This window comes from Homo sapiens, chromosome 2 (assembly GCF_000001405.40).
Source record: "Homo sapiens chromosome 2, GRCh38.p14 Primary Assembly".
NCBI classification, from domain to species: domain Eukaryota; kingdom Metazoa; phylum Chordata; class Mammalia; order Primates; family Hominidae; genus Homo; species Homo sapiens.
The window spans coordinates 29,307,713-29,330,270 of NC_000002.12; the positions used below are offsets into that span (position 1 = coordinate 29,307,713).

At 47.9% G+C, this 22,558-nt stretch overlaps 1 protein-coding gene and 1 long non-coding RNA gene across 4 annotated transcripts in view; one reads left to right on the forward strand and one right to left on the reverse strand.

The window, feature by feature from the left end:
* ALK (ALK receptor tyrosine kinase) overlaps positions 1–22,558 on the reverse strand; it is a 728,813-nt gene that overhangs the window by 114,939 nt on the left and 591,316 nt on the right. For both annotated transcript variants that reach the window (XR_001738688.3, NM_004304.5), the window contains exons 6-8: positions 20,638–20,769; positions 13,039–13,170; positions 10,592–10,692 (exon numbers count right to left, since the gene is read on the reverse strand). Coding sequence is in view for 1 of the 2 variants with exons in the window: in NM_004304.5 (NP_004295.2) it covers positions 10,592–10,692; positions 13,039–13,170; positions 20,638–20,769 (365 nt within the window). In the remaining variant the exon portion in view is untranslated. The remainder of the gene's footprint in view (positions 1–10,591; positions 10,693–13,038; positions 13,171–20,637; positions 20,770–22,558) is intronic.
* LOC101929386 (uncharacterized) overlaps positions 11,686–22,558 on the forward strand; it is a 32,817-nt gene continuing 21,944 nt past the window's right edge. Inside the window, exons 1-6 of one of the 2 annotated variants that reach the window (XR_939920.3) lie at positions 12,174–12,261; positions 13,767–13,804; positions 14,746–14,816; positions 20,673–20,797; positions 21,213–21,421; positions 21,577–21,747. This is a non-coding gene — a long non-coding RNA (uncharacterized LOC101929386). Of the gene's footprint in view, positions 11,899–12,098; positions 12,262–13,766; positions 13,805–14,745; positions 14,817–20,672; positions 20,798–21,212; positions 21,422–21,576; positions 21,748–22,558 lie in introns of those variants that run through there. The other variant, XR_007086263.1, reaches the window with a different exon arrangement.

Consider the following 22,558-nt stretch of genomic DNA (forward strand, 5'->3'; position numbering starts at 1 on the left):
AGCTATAAATAGCCTAATGACAAATCAACCCAGCACAGCAAGAAGCTGGCCAGATGCAGATTTTTGATAACAAGGAAATAAAACACGTTTCTGGCAAATGCTTGCAATTATGGAGGCTTAAGAAATGCTGGATTCCTGGTCTTGCAGGATACTTAAAAGATCAGGATCCTTCCTGAAAATACCACTTAATGTTTCTTTTCTGAGGGATTATGTAGAAGCCAGGGAACACCAGTGGACATTCATATGCCCTCTTTCTAAAAACATGAAGGCCACATACAAAAATAATCACCTTGAGATCTCTGGCTGGTGAGGTTATAAAGTTACAAGTTTTTTTTTTTTCTTCTGTGGTCTTTTCTTTCTTTTCCAATTTTTTTTTTTACAATGAATATCTGACTTTTGATAACTAGAACAAAAACAATGAAATTAATTTAGAGTGTGCAGCTGTTAAAAGCATGTTTATGAAGACTAATATTGATATGGGAAAATGTAATGTTAAATAAGAAATAAGACACAGGATGTTTATATTTATATAAACCCTTTCTCTATAGCAAAGCTCAAATCTAAATCTATCTGTCTGGAAGGAAATGTACCAATATCTTTGGGGGGTAAGATTTTGGGCAATTTCAATTTTCTTCTTCATACTTTCCTGCATTTTTCCTAATGTTCTACAATGAACATAAAGTTCTTTTATAATCAGAGAAAGCAATAAATGCTATATTAAAAAGGTGGTGAGAGAGGATTCTGATGTTGGAAAACAGTAAAAGCTAGTACTATGTTTTTACCCACTTCAGGGAGAATCAAGTTATTGTGCCTGTACTCTAGGCTTTGTGAGGGAGATCAAGGGAAGGTGGGAGCTTCTGTGGAATGCGGTGGGACCGTGCTGTGAACGGAACGCAAGCTTTCGTATCAGAAAGAATGGTCTATTTTTTACGTATCACGTAATATCTCAGAGCTTCAGCATCTTCTTCCGTCAAGTGGGGTCAACAGTACCCTGCTTAGATATTTATTATGGGGCTTTAATAAGATTATATGAGACCAGTGCCCAGCTTAGCGAAGACATTTGATAAATGTTAGTTCCTTTCTCCTGCATGGAAAAGAGCAGGCAGGGGACACTTTGTTAGAGATAAACAGTTCACAAAAAACAGACTACGACAGGGTGAAAATGCTGTGTTAAAGTTTCTGTCTGGTTTTTTTTTTTGTTGCTGTTTTTTAATCTTCTGGGTTCCCTAGAGAATTATCTTTCCAGGCTTATGGGAAGAAAAAGATGGTATTTTCTTCAGTCACACTGTCATGGTGTGATCCTGGGCAAACGGCCTCCTCTGTGTCTCAGTTTCTCTGTGTATGATGGAGATGACACTGAGGAGTAGCTTTGTAATCTGACTGCTGGGGAACAGGATGATTCTAGGCAATGAAACTCCCACAGCCTTCACGGACACCACTGGAAAAAGTAGATGTGGGGCACAGGAGCATCTGCAGGGGGCCCAGAGCCCTCTGGGGAGTATTTTTCCCTGATAGCTGGAGGGAGTGTGTGCTCTCAATGGGGTGTTCCCCCATATATGGGTGACATGAATGTGTTGCAATGACCACTAGTGGGAGCCAGAGAGGTCTGTGATTAACATACAGCTTTTGAATGGGAACCAAGTCTGTGCCAAGTGCCAAGGAAGATCCTATTCACACCCAGGGGCTGAGACAGTGATTCTTCCTAGACCTCAGCTTCATCATGCAATGGGAGAGGTATTAGTTGTGAATGGCTCAAAGGTATTACATTAATTATGTCTGACTGCAGTTACAATTGCTGTTGATTACTGCAGGCATTAGCAAGTGCTCTGGCAGAGTCGACCACTTAACAGGCAGTGGTGATAGAATGCTGGGCTCCAGTGGCTTCCTAGCTCTAGGTGCTGGGGTAAGAATGACTTTGGCTCAGAAAGCTCAGGAAGGTGTCATTTGTTGGGTCCTCGAGACTCATTGAGGAGTCTTCTTGTTCACTCTCATCCTGGAAGAGGGTTATGCTTGCAACCGTGGGGGGTGGGGGTGGGGCTGCACAATTAATTAGTTAATTATCAACGAAGTGGGTTTATTGGGCATGTCCTGCTGGTGCTAATGTGGACACTGTGTGAAATAACGCTCCCGACCTGCCCACGTGTTGCTGATTGACTGAGAGGAGAAATCAGAACACAAGCAGTGGCTGAATTTATGCAGCAGCAACTTCCTCATGCCTGAGTAACGTAAGATGAGGGATCATAATAATAATAATTGCTGCCATTCATCAAGCTTTGCAGAGAAGACAAAGGCTTTTCACATTTTCCTCTGATCCTGGTAACAACCTCATGCAGCAACTAAAACAGGTTTTTTGTTGTTGTTGTTTTCTCAAATTAAAGGAAGTCACTTGCTTGAGGTCATATGGCTCCTCAGTGGGGCAGAGCTGGGATCTAAACTCAGGCCATCTAAATCAAATCGAGTATTTATAGATTTGGTTGGGGAGTTGGGCAGACCTGGTTTGAATCATGACTCTGCCTCTAGCAGGGTGACTTTGGGCAGTCACTTAAACTCTTTAAGCTCCAGTTTCTGTATCAATAAATGGGGGTAATAATTTTTTATAACGAGATAATGTAGGTGAAATGCTTAGCATAGTGCCAGCCTTATACTAGGGAATCAATATTTGAAAACTACATCCTTAGTTGGCTTTATCGATACTAAGGGTCCCTTCCTCCAGCACTGGACTAAGTGAAGGCTTCTTTCTACTAGGGTGCAAAGAGCTAGGGTGTTCGAAGGCCCTCATTAAGAATAATGGCTTGCTTTTCAGCATAATACAGCCAAGTGATTTGTAAGTGACCTGAAGACCAGAAGTTTTCACACTGAATGTAAGTGTTCTTAACTTTTCTGTAGAATAAACACCCCAAAGAGATCCCAGATTCCTGTGGGCTATCTCCCCGCATGGCTGGCCACACGGCAGGTTTGAAATCAATACTTGCTGGTTCACCACCTAACTGTGGACCCTCAGTGTCCCTCCCTCGCTCATCCCTCTTGCTCGGGGTCCGTGTGTGCATCCAGCCAGTCAAGTGCCTTGTTGCCATGGCTCAGGGGCTCATCAGAACAGGGAAGATTTTATCCACTCACAGGGTAGCCGTGGGAGGTGGAGAGACTCTGTAAGCTTTGACACACAGGGGATTCTCATTACAGTGATGTTATTACAGGTGTCTGGACGGTTGTCATTAGAGACTGGAAGTGGGGCCCAAATCTCTTACTCATGTAGAGAGCCTTTGGAAAAAGCCATTTGGAAAATGCCTCGAGAACCACTGCAGCTTCCTCCTTTGTATTAGAGGCCCTTGCCCTCTAACACAAAGTTGCGGATGCCTAGACCCCAGCTAAAGGCTTTCTGAGGTTACTGTCTCCATCACCAGCAGTGTTAGCAGCTGCCAGGGCTCAGCCCTCCTGAGGTTTCAGCACCAGGGTGAGGGTGACTCATGGGGTAGATGAGGGGCAACCATAGTTGAAGCTGACTTCAGGGCCAACCAAGGCAGAGCAGGTGCTCTTCAAAATGCACCATCTATGAGCCTAATTGTGACCTAGGGGATGGAGTGAGATCCTAAAGGTGGGGAGGCCTTGGGGCTTCCGAAAACGGCAGTGAGGGTGGGAGCTCTTCCTCTGGGTTTCTTAGAGTAGGGGCACATATGCTGCTCAGCTCTTCCTAGGGGTACCCAAAGCCACAGGGCAAACAGGGTGTAGCTTCCTGGAGTGTTAGCCACTCAATAGTAAATAATGAGGCATGTTTTTGTGTCCAAACAAATAGGTATGTTAAGGAATAAAATACAGAATTGACATTTAAGTTAAAAAAAGGGGTTTGTAAAAGAAAAGTCAGGCTTATGACGTTCTGCTCTGGGCCGTGTCACCAGACTTCCTCCCTGCCTTGAGTGACCTCGTTGACGGCAGCTGTCCCACTCCCAGGAGCTCCCCTGGGGAAAGTGGAGATGCTCTTGCATCTGGAGGACACTGTGGGCCTTGCTGGCCAGCTGTGTGTGGTCTAGGTTCCTCTCCTGAGCCTTCTCTCATTTATAAAAAGGTGACAATATCATCTTCTCTGGGGGATGGGGGCGATGTGGGGGAAGGCCCCTCTGTAAACATGTTGGGACTATATCAAGGTATGGGGTTATTGTTCTGTGTAGGTGTCTGCTGATGGGGCAGTGGAGCAAAGGGACTTTTGGCAGATTGGAGGAGGGAGCTCCCATGCCCATGCTGGCTGGGGAGAGGAGCTGGTGGAGATGGTGGACAGGGGTGGCAGGGCCCCCTTGGCTGCTGTTAAAGCATAAACTTCCTCTGACTCCAGCCACTGAGCTGGGCAACACCCCTCTCCACTGGCAATAGTTGGGAGAGGGGTGTTGCCATATTGCCAGGCTACCCAGGGCAGGGCAGAGGCCAAACCCTCCAGATTCAGGCTCCTTGGAGAAGGCAGGCTCCAGCCTTGGTCTCAGAATCATCACTAAAGTCAGATAAGAAGATAATAATAGTAATGGCTACAACAGAGTAGCAGAAACCACAGGTTCCATTTTTAAGCACCTAATTGTGTCTAGATTCAGGCTGGGCATGTTTCATATCTCCTCTCACTCATTTCTCCTGACAGCCCTGGAGAGGATACTGAAGCCGAGAACAGTGGGTCGCTATACTCAAGGTCTCCAGGCTAGAAAGTGGGGGGGCTTCCTCCAAGGGCTAAGGGACTTCAAGCCCTGTCCTTCCCACTGTACCACGTTGCCTTGGTGATGCTCCTTTTGCACTGGCCCCACATGGCCAGCTGGATTCTTCTGGTCACAGGAGATGGCGTGGCTGTTGGGCTGTGGGGCAGGAGGGAGGCAGCTCTACCTGGAGCCACCACCCTGCTCCGACTTGCTCTAGGTATCAGCATTACACTGTGGGAGCCAGAGGAGCCCTGTGCTTTCTGATAGGCCCAACATTATGTCCTCCTGGGCAGAGAGTGGACAACTTAGAGGGATCATATGCTAGCTTGGGGTCCTGACCGTGGTCTCCAATGCAGGAAGAGGCGTGTGCAGAGAACAGCATGTGTGAAAACAATCCCCAGCCAGACTAGCTGGATCTGCTCTTAATTTAGGCAAGCACTGACTCCTAGAGCTGGACTTGCTTTCTCCCAATTCAGGCACATTCTGTCACTGCAGAGATGTCACAGCATCAGATGAGATGGGGGTTGGACATCCACAGGAACTCTGCCTGATGAGTATCTTGGTCCCCAAATACCTGACCAAAGGGACTTGGGCTTAGTGAGGGAGATAGAGATAACATTACCCTGGAATCCCTCTAGCTTGGTACTGGTCCCCAACTATTTACAAGAAGGGTTTTACAAACACCACAAAGTGTAGCATTGCTTGGCCATGCATGGGCAGAGAGGCTGGTCCCAGGTGGGCTCTGATAGGGGCTTGCTTGTTCTTCTACCAGTCAGCCCAGAGAGGGGAAGTGTGCAATATTCTTCTCCCTAGATGGTCATCCGTTCTATGCAGAAGGTAAACTGGCTCCAGGAAATAACAACTTTATTTGCAATCAAGCCCATGAGGCCTCCTGGAATGGCTTCTCCTTCCTGATTTGCTAAAGTAAGTTGGATCACATGGGGCCGAGAATGAGGCCCACCCAATGAACAAACTCCATTTGAGTCCTGTAGGTGAGTGGCAGTGTCCCCTTGGTGGCTCAGGAGTTAGACCCAGTGACTACTCCCAGCCTGTGGAGAGACGAAGGGGAGAACTCTTTGTTTACACAATGGGGTGGGATTCTCTATCTGCCTGCAGAAATGAGGTGGTGGGGCTCTGAGTTAGGTGACAGTAATGCCAGTTCTGATGCTTTTGAAGCTCTCATCAACTCTCCCCAAGTTGAGAAGGTTCCATCTGTCTCCAGCAGGGCAGTGTGACAGGAAGAGCATGAAACTCAGAATCATAAGATCTAGGTTTGGTCTTGTGTTTATTAGCTGTGGGTCTTGAGGTGAATTTCATGATCTGGATGGGGAGCCCGTGATGCATAGGATCTGCTCTGGAAAACGAGTTGAATTCAATAGTTATGCTCATCTTCTTTGGCTCCTGTCGAGAGTTTGGTGGGGGCTGATAAAGGAAGGTCCCCTTCTGCTTTTGTTTTTCCTCGGTCTCATGCCATCTGATACTAAGTTTTCTTACTCTTATCCTCCTTTTCTTGACTTTCCACAGAAGATTTTGTCACTGAGTTTAATAAACTTTAAAAACACAGCAGTCAGAAAAGTTCCTCTCTTTTTCCCATCTTCAGAGTCCTATTTGCCTGCTGCCGAGGTCGGGGGCAAGCTTCAATAAGCCCAATCAACACAGCCTGCCTCTCGGCTTCCCTGCTTCTGCGTCACACTGAGAGGCTGGAGGGAAGGATAAGCCTGTTTCCAGGGATGATCACCAGCACCCTGAAAAGTCTTACAAAATCAATCAGAGAGCAATTTACAGAAAAATTCCCTGCCTTCGGGTGCCTTCCTTTGAGAAGGGCTTCAGGGATGGATGGCCAAGGTCAACTCCAGGGGCCATGGCGTCTTCTCACATCCCTCTGGGCTACATTTGCTGGTTTTAATGACACAAAGGATGGGTCCCCTTTTCTCCAGGCCCATGTAGACGTGGAAGGGGCCCGCTGGTCACCTTCTGCCTAGATCACAGCAGCTCCCCACAGCTAATCCAACCTGATTCCTTTTATTGCTAGAGGTGACGTCAGGGGTGGAAAGGTTCGGCTGTGTCCCAAGATCCCAGAGGGTGTGTGCACGCATGTGTGTATGTGTGTGTGTGTTTGCGTGTACATATGTATGTGTGAGAAGAGGGGAGACGCAACTGCAGCTCTGGCCAGGTAGGAAAACCAGCATTGAGGAACTGACCACCACAAATTGGGGGGATCCCATCTCATTTTTGGATCAAATTGCACTTCTGTAGCTCACACAAGAAAAACTGCTTCCATGCCTTGGAGGGGAAAGAAAATGAGGAAAGTCCACTTTTTCTCCTTGCAGGCCCAGAAGGCCTGAGAACGTGGTTTAAATTATTCTAGTCACAGGCAGGCTATTCAAATAAAATAGAATTTCAAACCACACGGGGCTTGTTGAGACATTCAGGCTGCTGGGGTGTGTGAAAGGCAGGGGGCTGGGGTGGTGTCAGCCGCCACTCTGCCGTGCTCTTTATTACCAGCGGCTGCAATGCCAGACACATCCGCGGGTGTCTCAAAGCCGAGGCGGATTCGAGCAGGTCTGACAGCAAGTGAGCACATGAAAGCCACTGCAAGCCTTCCCTCCCCGGTGGCAACTTTAATTATTTGAACTGGAGCTCAGAAAAATAAAAATAAAAATAACATCAGAATATATTGTAAGTGGCTCCCCAGTTTCCTGCAGAGAAGAGCTTGTGGCGGAGAGGAGGAACACAAAAAGAAAACCAAAACCACAGCGTTCTTTCTTGTTTGTGGCTGGGCGAGGCAGAGGTCTTTAAATATTCATGCCCCGTGTGTAACTGTGCAGAGAGATAGGAGGCAGCCGTGGTAGTCAGCAAGAGCAGGCTGCAGGAGCCTGGAGGGAGGAGGTGGGAGTGGGGCAGGCTTCTGGAATGCCCTGGAAGTTAGATTGGCACAAAGGCACACTGTGGCTATGCCTCCATCATGGGGGGCTCCTGACCTGGTTTCATATGCTCTCCCACCCGCTTCTCTTCTCCCCCGCCTCCATCATTTCTCATCCCTTTTCTGACTCATCTTTCTAAAAGACAAGTGACATCACGCTATTTGGGGCCACAGACAGGAGGAAAACTCTCTGCATGGGCTCAGAATGAATTTCAGTCACAATTGGCAAGCACACCTACGGCCAATAGCTCTGAAGTTTCAGTGCACCTCCAAATCACCAAGGATAGGGTTTAAAAATGCAGAGCCCTGGGCCCCACTCTTCGCGATGTCATTCAGTAGGTCCAGGGTGGGGCATTTGTTACATTTTCCAGGTGAATGTGACTGGTGAAACACAGAACTACTGGTTAACTCACTTTCTAGACTTTGCAGGAAATTCTTGAAGATGACACCAGTTCTTCTCTGGGAATCCACTGATGATTGTGGTGTCTTGAGATAGTGTACGATGACTTTAACTTCCCGGAGACCAGGACTGAGCTGGGTTTGAAGAAGGTCCTTCGTGGTAGGCATCAGCCTCAGGGCTCAGCTGGACCAGTCGCCAGTCCCTGTAGGCCTGATGCTCATCAGAGTCCTGTCCCCAAAACTCTGCCTAGTGTCCATCTTTCTGCACTCGGGCCCCATAGGCAACAGAGGCCCCTGTAGGGTTGGTGGGGTTTGAAAGCCCTGAGTGAACCTCACATAGTCCCCCAGAGAAATGCAATATCCATTTTTTTCTGCCACTGGGGTTTAGCCCGCCCGGGAGGAGGAAATCAACTTCCTGCATTCTGCATTTAGGATTCACATAAAATAAATGGTAGGGCTTACAAATCTAGAAATGCATATTTCTATTTTGGTTATTTATTTTCCTGATAAAAACATTTCTCCCAACATTGGGAATTCAAAGACCCATCAGCATTAGACAAATGGTCTGAAAACCTGAATGTGAAATCATATGAATATATATAAATATAAATAATGTGAGTGTGGAATGGACTTATTCCCTTCCTTTCATTATGCCTGCTGAGCCAAGTTCTGGAAAAGGGCAGGGAATAGCAGAAACAGCCCAGAGCAAATTAGACTGCAGGAAAAATAAAACAGGCCAGTAAAACGAAACACCTGTTTAAGCTATTGATCAACTCAAAGGTTATTAGAGAAATGATGAAGTATTAGAATAATATCATTTGTACCTTGACATTTCTTTTTCTGAAATTTGGCTCATATTAAACCCAGCGAAGAGTAAATTTAAAGACCAAATGCTCTTAAGGATCCTCCCGTCCTCTCCGGTGGGCCAACCATCTGTCTTCATTTATATGTTCTCTCAAAAAGCCTTCCTTTCTAGGTACCTGCTCTCAGACACCTGAGAAATATCAGCAATGACTGTGTAATTCCACCATCTGCATGAGATAGCATGGTTTCTCAAACACAATTTAATTTAATGAATCTATTTATTTGTGCTCAGAATTCTTCCAAAAAGGATTTAAGGTGGTTCACAGAGATACATAAAATCTAGTAGGATAGCATAGCCTAGAAGAGGGTGAGAAGGAAGTGGCGAATGTCGAGTTATAAAATCAAACCAGGAGTAAGCTGCTACAAATTGCATATCACAAAGTCCCATTTGCTTGCCAAGTGGAGCCTTGGTTTTAATTTAACCACTCCTCGGATTAAAAAATCATTTCTACATCTTTTCCATTCTTATTTGTTTTCTGTCTGTGAGTTTTTATTTTATGAGAAACTCGAGGGGCTTGATTCTGCCTGCATCCCTTAGCAGGGGCAATCCTGTTGTCTGTCCCTCTGCTGGCCACAGAACCACCACCCTGGGATTTCTATTAGCCACAGAAGGAGAAGTGAATCTGGTCAGTTTCACAATGTCTACAACTTGACAGGAAACAAATTGCTCAGAGGGTGCATAGCTATTCCTGAAACTGAGCCAGACAGGAATTTCTCCTGTGAGTGTCCAGAACGAGATGACTGGCCAAACCCAAACTACGTGTAGGTTTTCTACTACACGCAAGATGTTGATGCAGGTGCAGTGAGGGAGTACAAAGAAGCACAAGACATGGCCTGCTCTCTTGGAGCTTACAGTCTGATTTCTGGCTCAAGTTCTCTTCCTCTTCCCCCAGTGTCCTTCTGAATGTTGATACAGTGTGCCAGGCACCCTGTGGGCTAAATACTGCAGTGCTTACTTTGTGCCCAATGCTCTTCCAAGCCCTTTGGACATTATCTATTTAATCCTCACTCTTCAGGATAGGCACTATAAATGTGTTCACTTTCCCAGTGAGGAAACTGAAGCCCCAAGAGGTTAATTAACTGCCCAAACAAACTATACAATCAATCAGTGGTGGAACCCGACTTGGACTCAGAAATTTGATTCTAGAGTCCATGAGCTTAATCACTGTACCATGCTGGGGTCTTAAGTACATTTCTTGGCCCCTAAAGAATATGACTGTATGCTAAGGAACAGGGCGCCAGTCCCTCCACCCACACCAATGAGATAACAGCATCAGGAACCATTTGAGAGAGTAGTTTTGGAGGTACCTCACTGAATGCCATTGATGTCTTAGTGAAATTTATGTAAATCAAATTTTTGAGGATGTATAGTATTTACAATGTATTACAAGAGCTCAATGTTTTTAAAAAGGATTCTGTAGAAAGTCTTTTGCAATCCTTGTCACTCTCCCTTGTTATGCCATGGAAAATCTCTTCTGGGTTTGATTAAATCATGGTTCTACTGCAAGTAGTTCAGTGCAGCTGGGTATGGCTGTTTAAGGCATGATTCTCTGTAGATAGGGCTTTACCATGTTGATGGACATGCTCTGCCTCGAAGATGGCAGAGGTGGCCCTCTTGTTCTCTCCCCAGGAGAACGACCAGCCCAGCCAGCTAGGCTACTTTCTTAATCTGGGTTCCGGAAGTGACAAGAGGTGGGAGGAGAAATTAGAGAACTAGAGAAACAAGGAGACTTGCCTCACATGGAGAGCTCTTGATCGGTGCAGGAAACGTAGCACTGGTCACTGTAGCACTTTCAGAAGCGGGGACATCAGTGGTACTGAGCAATAGAGCATGGTCTAGGAGAGAGGAAAAGAATCACAAGCACGCCATTATCAGGAACTGGGGGACCAGGGGTGCAGGGTTAATGGACTGTGCACAGTTCTTATCTAGCCTAGGGATATCTTTGAGGAAACAGGTTTCTGGCCTGCAATGGAGAAGAAAGCCCACCTGTCAACAATTTCTTTTTTTTTTTTTTTGAGACAGAGTCTTGCTCTGTAGCTCAGACCGGAGTGCAGTGGCGCGATCTTGGCTCACTGCAAGCTCCGCCTCCCGGGTTCATGCCATTCTCCTGCCTCAGCCTCCCAAGTGGCAGACTACACAGGCGCCTGCCACCACGCCCGGCTAATTTTTTGTATTTTTAGTAGAGACGGGGTTTCACTGTGTTAGCCAGGATAGTCTCGATCTCCTGACCTGGTGATCTGCCCGTCTCGGCCTCCCAAAGTGCTGGGATTACAGGCATGAGCCACTGCGCCTGGCCAACAATTTCATTCTAAACTGCCTGTGAGGTCCCAGCACCATCATCTGGGCTACCACATCCCTGATCTTCCAAGGTCACCAGCTTTAGCCCATGGCCCAGGACTAGCCTGAAGCACACTGGCCTCCCCAGCTCCACCCTCCCCATTTTCAGTCATGCGTGGCCTTCCAGTGGTTTCTGTGACCTTCACTCTCTTCTCCCCTGTCCAGAACCCAGGTCGTCCTGTGCCCCTGCCCATGAAGACTCACTTCTTATATTTTCTAAGCATGGCTCTGCCTGAAAATCTGGGAGAACAGGGGCTCCCATCCACACGTGGTGGTGGGAAGAAGCATCTGCAAACTTTCAGGGTCTGCAGAGCATTTTGTACGTGGCCGGTGCTGTGGTATGAGTGCCATTGTGAGCTCACAACACTTTAGGGGGCCACAGAACCCCAAGCATTATACTTTAGTCTTTCCTTTCTACCTTTCTGCCTCTCTCAGTAAAGGCTGTTATTAAGTAACAAATTCGGGTGGGTCAAGGGCAGAGTAACCAAGAGATCTCAGCAAGCATGAGGGAGATTCAAGGAGCTGGCATTGTGTGACTGGGGACAGAAAAGCCCTCATGCAGGCAGGCGGGTCACAATTGTTCCCTTCAGATTTCTGAGGGGCTGCCTTGGTGGGAGAGGGGGTAGTTCAGTTCTGTGGGGCTCCAGGGGGCAAAAGGCATGATAAATGAGTAGAAGTCATGGAGAGGTGGAGCTTGCCTCCAGGTAAGGAAAGCTAATCTGTGATTGAGAACAACAGCATGTCTGCTCTAGGAGGCAGTGGGAGCCCTGTCACTGGCGGTATTCCGCAGGGCTGGATGCTTATTTGCTATGGGTGCTGTAGTGGAAATTATCAAACTGGGAACAGAGACATGAAGGGCACATCCAGCTTGGAACTCCATTTCTCTCCTCTGCGTCTTTTACAGACAGAATGCTAAGAAGGATGCTGCTGCACAGTGGGGACTGAGCCAACTCACTGTTCAACAAATAAGCATTGGAGGGTCTCTAGTTCCATAGAAAGAAGGCAAATGAAGAGGACAGAAGAAGGAGAGAGACCTTCCCACCCCATCAGCCCTATGCTGCAGAGAGGTGGGCACCAGGGCCTGCCCGGGTCCCACCACTAGGGACAGCCCCCAAGGCTGGCTAGCCTGGCCTCTCCAGCAGCCTAACGTTGGGAGCTCTGCTGGCCATATAGACCCTCTGTGATCCCACATCCTGCCCAGCCTGGTGTCTCTGAGTCTGGAGTCAGCTTACCCAGGAGGGGCTGGCTATCTCTTGGCTGCGTGGAGGCCCTTTGCTCTCTGCCAGACACGCAGGGTTTGTGGGGAGGATGGACCCCGGAGAGGGGAGGACAGGCATTACTAGCTTAAATCAGGGGTGAGGTAGGGGGATGGCTGGAGAGGCTGTGCTGCAGGGAATGGACCATGGACCGGGTATAGGGTGAGGCTCCCTGGGCACAACCCTGGGGCAAATGACACAAGGACTTGCTGTGCCTCAGTCTCCCCAGTCATAAAGAGGGCTATGGCTTTCCCTGCCTCTCAATGAATTATGTGCCTGACACATAGGACGCCCTCAGCACATACTTGTTGATGGAAAGGATTATTATCGTTGTTGCTATTATCTTTTTGTTAATCCCTCCTCATGGTTCTTATTTTAAGTAACCAAAGGTGACATCTATCTTGGCCAGATTTAATCACTCGAAAGCCCAAGGTGTGAAGAGGGAATTGTGTGTGAACGCTCTAGGCAAGCTTTGGTCAGACACCCGAGCTTGCCCTGCAGGTGGGGTGAAGTCCAGCCCTGAGTCTCCCATCTGTCTATGTGGGCATGAAGATGGGCACCAGAGAGAAGGCAGGAGAGCAGTAGTACCTTGGTGGTCCTGGAACCGGGCATCCTTTAGGGTCCTGACCTGCCATTGAGGAGTGTGGGGTGACAGTGTGCCTTGGGTCCAGCCACAGAAGCCATCTTCAAAGTTGCAGTAAAAACCCACAGGCAGTTTCCCTATGGAGAGAGCAGAGAGGCACCATCATTTTCAGGACCACTAAAGGCAAAATATGCCAATGCCAAGTCGAATTAGCCAGGCATGACCAAATTATCTTCATTAGTAATATAGCTCCCCAGCCAGAATGCTGGATGACTAATGACACTGATTATAATGAAGAGAAGCCCCCAAGCCCTAACTGATGCCCGTGCTGGTTTACAGTTTTCTTATCTACAGAAAACAAAATAGGAAAAATAACTCTTCAGCATGGGTGTTGTTAGTCCAGTTGTATATCTGACAAAGCAGAGGCTCAGAAATGTGAAGCAACTTGACCAAGGTCACACAGCTAACAGATAACCCAGTTAGGACTCGAACCCAGGTCTTCTGCTTCTAAATTCTGCACTCTTTATACTCAGCCACCATGAATGTGACCCCAGGAGAAGCCACTGTATAGCTCACTACATTTCTAATGGTTGATACAATGTCCAGACTGTGGTGGTGGTTGTGGTAGTGTTGGCTGGGGGTTTGTCTGGGTCCATCAAATTACCTGTCTGCAGAGACACATATTGCTCAAAACTTTCCATTTGCTTTCCTTTCTCTCCCAACCCGCTTGCAGTTAAGTGAAGACATATGATGTGCTCTGGCCAATGAAATGTGAGTGGAAGTGATGTATCTTCTCTGAATTAAGGCTGCTAAAAGCCCTTGTGTAAATCTTTGGTCTCTCTGTTCCCTTGCTGAAACAACCAATGAAAGTTCTTGTTCCTAAGGGTGACACTATATTGACGGAGGAGCCTCTGCCAGCCTGGGTCCCTGAGTGATCCTGTGGAGCAGAGGCCCCTCCCACCCACACCCTCATTGGACGGGTACTGTAAATGTTATCCCAAGCCACTGAGATATGGGGTTTATTACTGCAGCATAATCTAGCCTGTCCTGATCAAACAATCCCAGTCATTGGGGCCTCTTTATATCATCAGTGGGCTCAGCACAAAGGGCACGTCATCTTTTTCTCTACATCAGACTGATCTCAGGTCCTATTGAAGAGGTGACAGTCAGCTTTCTAGACTGTATATTTCCCAACTGCCCACAGAAGGAAGAGGAAAGGATAAGAGGGTGAGGGAGAGAGCTCACTTTCTCCAGCTCACTCTGAGCATGGCTCCAGGAAAGGCACTCAGCCCTAAGGAGCTAGTGGCCTATTCCAGGCGATTCTGATGGCCCCCAACACCTCCCAGCCTAGCTGCAGAGAAGCCTGTGTCTCCATGTGGGAGGAAAGAAGCTCTCTAGCTGAGACCCACAGCACTGCATGTCCTTCCTCTGTCTCAGCCTTCTTGGCAGCAGCAGGCTGACAAAGAGGGCCCTAACGCTTCCTGGCTGTGACAGCACCTTAGTGAATTATTACTCATTTCCCCCAGATTCTCTGTGCATTTCACACAGAGGCAGAATTATAAATTAAAACAGGCTGTCACTGACTTTGAACATCTCTTCCCATTTATACCCCCCTGAAGAAATAATTTCCCCCTAAGCCCCACATGTTTCTATGATTAAAAATCCCAAAGCTAAGAAGAACTTTCTGTTTTATTTTTTATTTCCCCCTCAAGGGATCCCACATCTACTTCTCTTGCAGAAACCAACTGGTGGAAGTGACCTTCTCATGGAGTGTCCTTCACAAGTGAGTTTTAAAAACCAAGGCCCGACAGGGCACGGTGGCTCACGCCTGCAATCCCAGCACTTTGGGAGGCTGAGGCAGGCAGATCACCTGAGGTCAGGAGTTTGAGAACAGCCTGGCCAACATGGGGAGACTCTGTCTTGACTAAAAATACAGAAATTAGCCGGGTCTGGTGGTGGGTGCCTGTAATCTCAGCTACTCGGGAGGCTGAGGCAGGAGAATCACTTGAACCCAGGAGGTGGAAGTTGCAGTGAGCCAAGATTGTGCCACTGCACTCCAGCCTGGGCGACAAGAGCAAAACTCCATCTCAAACAAACAAGCAAAAACAAACAAACAAAACACCCCAGGGCCCATGATGGAAGATTCCAGTGGGTGATGGATTCCTGGAGGAAGGAGGAGGCCGGCCTGAGGTGGGAGATGCACAGTACGTCACTCCCTCCTTACCCTTTTAGGAGGCAGAGGGAGAGAACTGAGCCTGGATCATGGGTATTGTTAGCACAACAGCACTGGAATCCGGACATATGGGCTCTAGTTCTAGCCTCACCACTTCCTGCTTTGTGACCTTACAAAAGTCCCTTCTTCCTTAGAGCCTCAGGTTCCTTATCTGTAAAATGGGGCAGTATTAGTGTCTATTTTACTGAGCTGGTTTGAGGATAAAGTAGGGGAGAGAGTGTGGAAACACTTTGTAAACAGCCAGAGAGGTGCAAATGTAAAGTGGTGGTAGTGTTATTAATTGCCATTCACACCTAACTTGGAGCTAGTTCTTCAGAGTATGGCTGAAACTGACAGCAAGTCCCTGCCTGGCTCTCTGGAAATGCTTGTTGGAGGCTGCATATGTGATAGCTCTGCCTATGCCTTTCAGCTGGACAGAAGAAAGCCACTGAAGAAAGCCATCAGCATTCTCTGTCTCTGGAATCCCATTCTTGTTTCAGCTTGGCATAGAATCCAGGGTGAGCTGGGAGTGGAAACCCCTTTTCTTTCTGGCTGACTCAATAACGGGAGAGGAGGCAGGCAAAAGAGCAAGACAGGCCAGTGGACAATTGATGTGGCAATTAAAACCCCTAAGGGAGGAAGGAGAGCTGAGGATTTCCATGATTGTAAACTCATCAGGGCAGCTTGCTCAGCCAGAAGCCACTCCTGAGGAAGCTGGTGGGTTAAGGTTAAGAGTCGGAACAAAGACCCCTGTGGATTAGGCTGCAACTGGGAAATCACCACTAAGGCCAATTGCTGAGCAAAAGGTTGGCCTGCAGGATTGGGTCTAATGGTATCAACTCATCCTCTGATCATCCTTTTCTCTTCTCATTCGCCCCAAGCTCCTACTCAGTCAGCACACTGGAAGACTTCAAAACTTATTTGCTGAACAAAAGGGGAGTGGGCTCAATCCTCTAACTCTTTACCACTCAAAATGTGGTCCAGGGACCAGCTGTAGCCTCATCACCTATGAATCTGTAAAATGTGTGGAATCTCAGGCCTTGCCCCAACCCACTGAATCAGAATCTGCATTTTTAAGAGGCTCCCCTAGTGACTCCTGTGCACCTTAAATCTGGAGAAGCACTGTTCTAACCAACCCCCTTCTTGGGCTGTAGCCAGTTATTTCATTGGCTGGATGGCCAAATCGCGCTGTGGGTAGGTCAATCAATCCTGCAACATTTGGCAATTATGACACCTGATTCCACTCTAAGAGAGACAAATTGGTACAGTCATGGAGCTGTGACCTCAGCAGCAGCTGTGGGAGCTGCCAAGTATAAACTCCAGGCCAAATGACACTACTTCTTTTCCTTCCTGCGTGACAACTCTGTTAACATTTTTGATAAATATGTGCTATACATTTTCTTGAAAATATAGAGTCATGGGAAAAATGCTAGAAGAAATACATCAAAATATTACAGTTATCTCTGAATGTTTGAGAGGGAGGATTATGGGCGATAGTTATTTTCTCTTGTGTACATTTCTAGATTTTCTGTATTTTACAACCAGTATGTTTTATCTTACAATAAAGAAATACACTTTTAAAACACTGTTTTTGCCTGGCAGGAAGAGTATCCCCAGCACACAGATGAGATTATCAAGTCCATGGGGGAAAAGTGATCTGTCTGCAATACCTAGTGAATCACTGACCCATCTAGGGGATGAAATGGGAACATCTGGCCCCTTTCTAGGGAGCCACATGCCATCGAGGCCATTGGTCAGAACGCAGAGAGAGTCACGAAGACCCCCTTCAGTGCATTACAGCATCTGGGATGTCTCACTTGGATTTGGCGATGTTTAATTAGAAATGCAGGAGTGGCTGTATTGGAGAGGGGACCGAGAGTACTGTGTTGGAGTGTGGGTTTGGAGGAGAGAGTACAGTGGACATATGAGGATCATGATTGGCTAGAAAAAGGCAAGGGAATGTCACCTCCATCTCAGGCCCTCCACTCATCCTGGACAACTGTTAGAATTTTTAAGGGCTCCAAAGAGATCCAGTTACGTTGCCCAGAGTGAGTCTGATAATCTGTTTGCAGCCCCAGCATGTGCGGAGGACTCCCTCTGGGAAGGTGTGGGGAGTTGAGGCTGGCTTTTGGTAGGGGGAGTTGATTAAATGCAACCTACTTTCCCCTTCCAAATTCCAACCATGGCAGGGTTTGGTCAACTACCCTGGCCCAAGATGAAAGACCCTCAGGAAGGTTCTTTAGAGGACCTGGCCATTCCTAACAGAGCTGCAGTGTGAACACCTGCTCAGAGGAAACATTTTAACAGGTTCCAGACCACCTGGAAAGAGCTGGTGTAGTCAAGAGTATTTTCCTATGATGTTGGTGTTGATTCTGGAAACCATCCCCCTGAAGAAAATAATAACATGAATAATACTGGCTAACATTTACTGAGCACTTACTTTGTGCCAGGAGCTGCTCCAAACACTTCCTGCTTGTTTCTCAGACCTCAGAGTGTCAGTAGGCATCACTTTACAGATGAGGAACCCGAGACCCAGAGGGGGAGGCCCCCAGAGAAAGGCGGTAGCAGGGCCCTGGACCTCCCTGTCTCTTCCTGGCCCCTTCATCCTGGGTGTGTCTGTGGCTAGGTTCAGTGCTTATCATAGCTAAGTGCTGGAAGCTCGTGAAACAGAGTTTACCCTGCAGTGGTTTGAGTGTGGCTCTGAAGTCAGACTGAGCCTGAATCACTGCTCAGCTTCTGGCTATCAGTTTGATCGTGGACAACCACTTAAACTCCGTGAGCTTCAGCTTCCTTGTCTCTAACAAAGATGGGTACAATAGCATCACACAGGATGTTGTAAGGATGAAGCAAGTTCCTACATGAAAAGTGTTGAGAACAGCTCCTGCCTCATAGAGTAAAGGCTCAACAGGTAAGCTGGTGTTGTTGCTGTTGTTATCTTCATGGGAATGGTTTTCAGAGTCAACATTAGTGTGATGGGGAACACAGCAAAAATGCCGGAAAGGATAGGGCACACAAATAAGAAAAAGGATATTTTCTAAGAGTTTTGCTAAGATCTGAGTGGGAATAACTCTCCTGAATTGAACTTCCCTCCCAGCAACTGCTTTCTGTAGCCAAGAACACAGTGGGGGTGTTCTCCAGGGTGGAGGGGTTACTCTGACAGCTTGTCAGAGCCGCTTTTCAAATGTGGCTGAAAAAGCCTCTGGGCCCCAGGTTCTTGCCCTCAGTGCCTGAAGTAGACTGCCCTGAAGCTTGGAGCTGGCCAGGAAACCAGTAGTGGTAAGCTTTGGAGTGGTGGGAAATGCCCTGAGCCCATAGTAATGGACTGGATCCTGAAGGTTCAGGGCTCTAATCTGTCCCTGACATGCTGTGTGACCCTGAACAAGTCAATTGCCTTATCTGTGCCTTCATTTTCCCAATTGTCAATCAGGGCATGGCCTGCCCGACCTGTGTCCCAGCTGGGAAGTAGGTATCAAAAAACTTGAAAAAGGCAATCGCGAAATCACAGAGTTCAGAGGCACTGCTGGAAACACTGCAGACACAAATAAATAGAGACACACACACAGGCCCCTGAACAGGGCACTGTGGGCAGGACTGGCTTCACTTTGGGCCATGTGTGTAGTGAGAACTATACGAGAAAGGCCAGGAGCGGAACAGAACAGGGTAAGCAAAGCCCTTCCCTGTAACTCTTTGCTGAGTTTTATCTAAAAACATACAACTATTCCATTATCATTGGAAAACTTCACTTGAAAGTTTTGTATAGAAATGAAGTTTTAAAAATGGGAAAATGAATGTCTTTATTGCTTAATTTAAATGAGAATAAATGAAACCTTCTCCACCCCCCACAAAGGGTCCAGATGACTGGGGGCAGAGGGCCCTGTTTTAAAACGTATTTTGGAAACTTCCTTGCAGGCCACTGGGGTCTGCATATCTGGGAGGTGAGGCATTTGCTCCGGGTCTGGGCCCCACCCCAGGCACCATTCTGCCTCCTCCTTCCCCAGTCCAGGCTCCATTTCACTCCCGCCCCTGTGTGAAGCTTTCAGTGCTTTGAGGGAAGATGCCAAGTTATTCATCTCTGCTCCAGGATCTGGCACATTTTCCAGCTGCCTGTAGGTATTCTGGAAGCGTTGGTGGTTTCAGTGGCAAAAACATCAAGGGCTCTGCGGTGATTACTTCTGGAGAGGCAGCTGCGGGGAGCACCATGTTCAAGTGCAGGAGCACCAGCTGGGAGTCTACTCCGCCCCGACTGCCAGTGGGGCCTCGGCAATTTGTTTTCCCCTATGGAGTCCAAGTTTCCCAACTCATTCTTTCCTCTCATCAATGAAGAGTCAGTAAGCACAGACGCTGTGCCAGGAATCATGAGAGGTATTGCTATGGGAAAGATGACCAGACTCAAACCACCCACAGAGAGGAAGAGAGACATGGAAATCACCTCCATAAAACATAATGGATGCATGCCCACTAGGATGGCTAAAATTAAAAAGACAGATAATATGACGTGTTGGCAAAGATATGGAGAAAGTGGGCCCCTCGTAGGATGCTAAATGCCCAGAATAGGCAAATCTATAGAAACAAAGATTAGTGGTTGGTTCAGGCTAATGGCAGGGGGTTTGGAGCAAAATGGGGAGAGATACTACAGGTTCCTTTTCGGGGTGATAAAAATGTTCTAAAATAAAATTGTGATGATGGTTGAACAACCCTGTGACTATATGGAAAACAGGGAATTGTACACTTGAAGTGGGTGAATTGTATGTGAATTGTATCTCAAAACTATTCATAAAAAGTAATGGCAATGATGATATTTGGATGGATCCACTGGATTGTGGGGGAAGGATCCAGAGGGAGAAGAACCAGTGGTACTTGTGGGGGATGGCCAGGGAGGCTTTCTGAAAGAATCGACTCAGGGCGAGTCTTGAAGTAGATGTGACTCGAGAAAGGAAAGGGGAGACCATGTGAGCAAAGCCATGGAGGCATGAAGGATCTGTAAGGTGGTTCCATACAGCCGGAGCTGGGGTGCATGGAGGAGGGAGAGGATGAGGGGCAGGTGGGGAATGGGACTTGGAAGGCGAGGGAAGTCTGGGCATAGAGGACTTCCAATGTCACATTAGAGCTGGGCTTTATCCTGCACATTTTCTCTGTGCCTTGAGGATGCTGATAGCATCACTTACAAGATCTTGTTTGGTTCTTGACTTATATGACTACGGACCAGGCTATTTCTAGACCACAAATCTTAGCTCTGCCTCTTGAAGACTGTGTGGCTTTGCCATGAGAGGAGTCACAAGTGTCAGTGGATATCAGGAAGGCTGTCCATGCTCTCATGCCTGGGATAATGGGGACAACGGGGTTATGAGCATGGGCTGGGCTCAGGCAGGGTGGGGCAGCCCCATCTACTCACGGCACATCTGGCTCTCATCTTCTCCCTGGGCACAGTCCTGGTGGAAGTCACAGGCCTGCCCAAGCTGGAGGACTGTCCCATTCCAACAAGTGAAGGAGCTCTGCAGGGCCATCTTGGAGCCTGGGGATGTTCCTGGAGAGCACACAGACACACAACCATGGTAAGTTTGCATGGCCCCAGGCAGCAGCTGGCCTGATGGGTTGGTCCCATGGGCAGGCTGCAGGGACAGCATTATCCTGCCCTGCCATTCACACTCCAAGGCCTGATTGAGACATCTGCATCTCCATCTGGCCAACCCAGGGCCAACATCAGCAGGGAGAGGGGTCAAAACCCCTCACGCTCATCCATGGCCTGCTGGGGTATCTCACTTTCTAGGAAGGTGAGCAGCAGAGTGGTCCATGTTCCCTCCATGACATTCCTCCTCGGGGGTCCTCAAACCCATGACTTTAGTGTGCCAAGTGGATGGCCTCCAGGTGGAGTCTCACCTGCACAGATAGCTCCACCCTCAAGGTCAAATTTGGGGTACCAAGAGGTGGATCTGGTCTAGTGCATGTCCCCCATGTTCTTGACCCCAGGTTCTACCACTGGAGTGACTTATTGAGAAGATATTAGAAAGATGCAGCACTTTCTGTTCTGGAATGCAAAGAACACCATCATGCAAGCCTGGGCCTCAGATCTGGACTTGGATCCTCCTGCCTGGCTGTATGAGGCTGACCATGTCCCTTCTCTGTGTGGCCCCTGTCCCATCCTCTATCAAAGGAGGGATTTCTATTAGATTGCTAAGGTTTGCTCTAGTCTGAAATTCCTAGATAATTAATTTTATCCAGAGGGGGAAGGGATGGGGGCAGTTTATAATGAACATACAGAGTTATCAGTTTCTGGATTAAGAACAATGCATTTTGATAATGAATTAACCTGTGACCACTCACATCTTTGCAGGCCCCAGAGATTCAGACAACAGGAAGGAGAAGGCTGGTCTGGCTTAGCCTCCCTGACCAAATGGAGGGCTTTGCCTGGGGACCACCTCACAAGGCCTGGCTGGTGCCTCCTGCTACTCAGTTCTTGGCTGATGTCAGATGGGGAGACTCTGGCCCCTGTGGAGATGAGCAGGTAGGGCTCACCTGGGTCAACACCCCGAGTGAGCCTGCCTTACTCTCTGCCTTGTTTTCTAGCTCTATCCTGGTCATAGCTGGTGCTAAACCCATCTCAGTGCTCAGGGCAGTGGGGGAAGATGAACTAGGACCCCACTTGGCTAAGTCCCCCAGCCTCTCTGAGCCTCACATGGGGGTGGGGCCTTTCCAACTCTGGCTGCAAATCAAACTCAACTGATTCTGATGAGGTACTCTCCAGGTTAGGTGATCTTTAATATCTAAAAGTCCATGATTTCCTGGTTCAAAGGACTCTTCCTAATAGCACTGAAACTAACATGAAGCCCAGCTTGTTTACTTCTGGAATTTCTCCATCTACTTTAGCACATCTGGCCCTGTGAGGAAACTAGACAGGTCTTAATGATGTCCATTTCCTAAGTGGGAAAACTGAGGTCAGAGAGGTTCAGTGACTTATCTCAGGCCCCACACCTGGTATGTGGGATTCACACCCAGCTTCTCTGACTGTAAAGGTGCCCTCTCCATCTCACGGAAGGAGATGCTGGAGGTGGCCTTGTGCCCTCTTTTCTAGGGTAGTCCAGATAAGGCAGAGTTTGTCAGATGACAGCACACGGCCACCCAGCATTGTCCACCCTGCCTCCTACTGGGCATTCTCTGCAAATACTAGTAATGGGAAAACAGATCCCACCTCCTTCCAGGGAATCATATCTGAGCCCTTTCACCTGCTCTTCAAGGTCCCTGTGATCTGGGCCTAAGTTGCTTTGCCTCTCCCTCTGCCTCTGCTCATGGACTCTGTGCTGCAGGCTCCCAGAGGG